General features: G+C 36.6%; 1 annotated feature.

Annotated features, from left to right (window-relative positions):
- Window positions 980–2,179: an enhancer, noted in NCBI's record as "P300/CBP strongly-dependent group 1 enhancer chr8:50022257-50023456 (GRCh37/hg19 assembly coordinates)". NCBI's record gives its function as "activates an origin of replication core promoter dependent on BRD2, BRD4, P300/CBP, MED14 and CDK7 cofactors, with strong dependence on P300/CBP, by STARR-seq in HCT116 cells {active_cell/tissue: HCT116}" and the evidence as "EXISTENCE:reporter gene assay evidence [ECO:0000049][PMID:35650434]".

Genomic DNA, 2,412 nt, shown 5'->3' with positions numbered 1-2,412 from the left:
TTGATTAAATAATTAGAGCTATCCAAACATGGAATAGCTAAGTACAGATGGAGAATATATCAATAATATTCTAGACCGTGGGGGGAATACTCATATTGTATGAGGAAATAGATATTTAAAACACAATTCTATTCATAATTGGCCTTGGAAAAGAATAAAGAAAAGTAAATATCCCTGTGGGGGAAAAGTTATCTTAAACTGAAGAAATAAAATAGAAAATAGACAAATATATAAACTTTAAAATTAAAGAAAACAAATTTATTAAACAACTCTTAAGGTCATATTGAAGGGACAGTACTGAGGACAGGCATCATTAACAGATTGAGATCTCTATAAATTATGTGAAGCAAATTATATTTTGATAAATTTAGGGAGATGTTTATAGTTAAATAATTTGTCTGCCAAAAGAGTTGAGAATGAGTCCTAGCTAATGGAAATTTAAGTTCGTTGAATAGTGCTATACATAATAATATAGATGTTTTGCAAAATTTAAGACTTTTTTAATGAAATGCACCACTCCTGATGCAAGTACAATTTGATGTAGATTTTCTCAAAGGCAGCGTGGTAACATAAATCAAAAGGCTTTAAAATATTCATAACTTTTGCCCTGGTAGTTTCACTCCTAGAAATATATTCATTGTTGAAAAAGTATCTAAAATTACATTTGTTTCAGCTTTGCTTAGAGGGTGAAATATTGGATAAATCCTAATTTTCAACAGCAAAGAATTGGTTCAATAATTTGATATTCAATAGCATGTTGTGAAGTAAAAATGAGATGTGAATAATTATTTGTTGATGTTGCATATGTGTGTATAGACTATGAATACAGGAGATAAGTACATGAAGGTGCTCTGCATTACTACTGAGTAAGGAAATGTTACAGTCTCACCAAGGCACCACAATGCAGCAGTATCATGTTGTGAAGTATCTATCACCTGGAGTTCTTTGTCTCACAACCAAGAGAATTAAGGAGCATGGACAGAAAGGATGAGTTTGGAGCAAAAGTTTAACAGGCAAAGGAAGAAAGCTTCCCGCAGCAGAGAGGGGGCCTGAATGGGTTGCCATTTAAACAAATGAATGCAAAGGGCTTTTTGAGAAACCAGTGAGGGCTGGGTGTCTCATTTGCACAAGGTGTGAATTTCTGGTAGCTCTTCCCTATCCTCCTAGTGCTCATGAGGGCCCTTAGCTTGAGTTACTCCATATTGTTTTGGTCCCTTTACGGCACATGTGTTAGGGGATGGAATTTTCCATTGCGGGCATGTCTGGACAAGTCACCTATGTAGCCTTTCTTATCTGTGCAGCTGTGGGCATGTCTTAGGCAAGCCCTCCTGTGTAAATTCCCTTATCTGTGCCTGCAGCTTGATTTTTCAGGCTGTTCATTTGTTTGAAAGAATTCAATCAAGGACCCACCCTAACCACCTGACAAGTTTCTTCCTTTCTTCTCTCTCAGAAACACAAGTAAAAACCACAAGGATATGCAATTTCATCCCCAGAAAAAAAAAAAAAAACTTGAATAGGATGAACATTATTAGCTAGAAATGAGCATTCTCACACAATTTTTTTTCTGCTTTTGTGAGTCAAGCCAGGGTCATTCTTTTTGTTTGTTTGTTTGTTTGTTTTTGTTTTTGTTTTTGTTTTGAGACAGAGTCTCCCTGTTGTTGCCCGGGCTGGAGTGCAATGATGCAATCTTGGCTCACTGCAACCTCCGCCTCCTGGGTTCCAGCAATTCTCTTGCCTCAGCCTCCCCAGTAGCTGAGATTCCATGGCCGGCTAATTTTTGTATTTTTAGTACAGACAACGTTTCACCATGTTGGCCAGGCTGGTCCTGAACTCCTGACCTCAGGTGATCCACCTGCCTTAGCCTCCCAAAGTGCAGGGATTACAGGCATGAGCCACCGCACCACATTTGCAAGCAATAGTGACAATGTCTTCATGGTCCTCCTCAACACCAGGTAGGAACTCACTTTTGGTGCCCTGCACTTCAGGTGCTCCTCTGATTAACTTGTTATTTTGTTATTCTGGGATGGCTATCCTTATCATCCTCTACATAAGAAATAAGAATTGTTCAAAAATGTCTCAAATCAATAGCTTTTCTGCTGTTGGGTAAGAGAAGAGGTGCAAACTATTGAAGGATGTTTTTATATTAAGATAGAAAAAAAAGTTTTAAAATGAATCACAGAATAACCCCCCACAGAATAAAGTCGCTTTCCATTTTTCCAGAAATAAATATTATCTTTAGTCACATCAGAATATGTGTGTTTTTATTAGCACCTGAGATTACTAAAATTGCCATTAAATTAGGTCATCCAATTTAACTTGCATATGGATTATGATTTATCTTTCTACCCTGTTGTTTTACTAATAAAATACCTCTTCAAACATGAACACAACTTTATTATTATTATTTTCACC

The sequence above is a fragment of the Homo sapiens genome, chromosome 8, assembly GCF_000001405.40.
Source record: "Homo sapiens chromosome 8, GRCh38.p14 Primary Assembly".
NCBI lineage: Eukaryota > Metazoa > Chordata > Mammalia > Primates > Hominidae > Homo > Homo sapiens.
The sequence above is the reverse complement of the archived record's forward strand: the minus strand, read 5'-3'. Positions and strand labels throughout refer to the sequence as shown.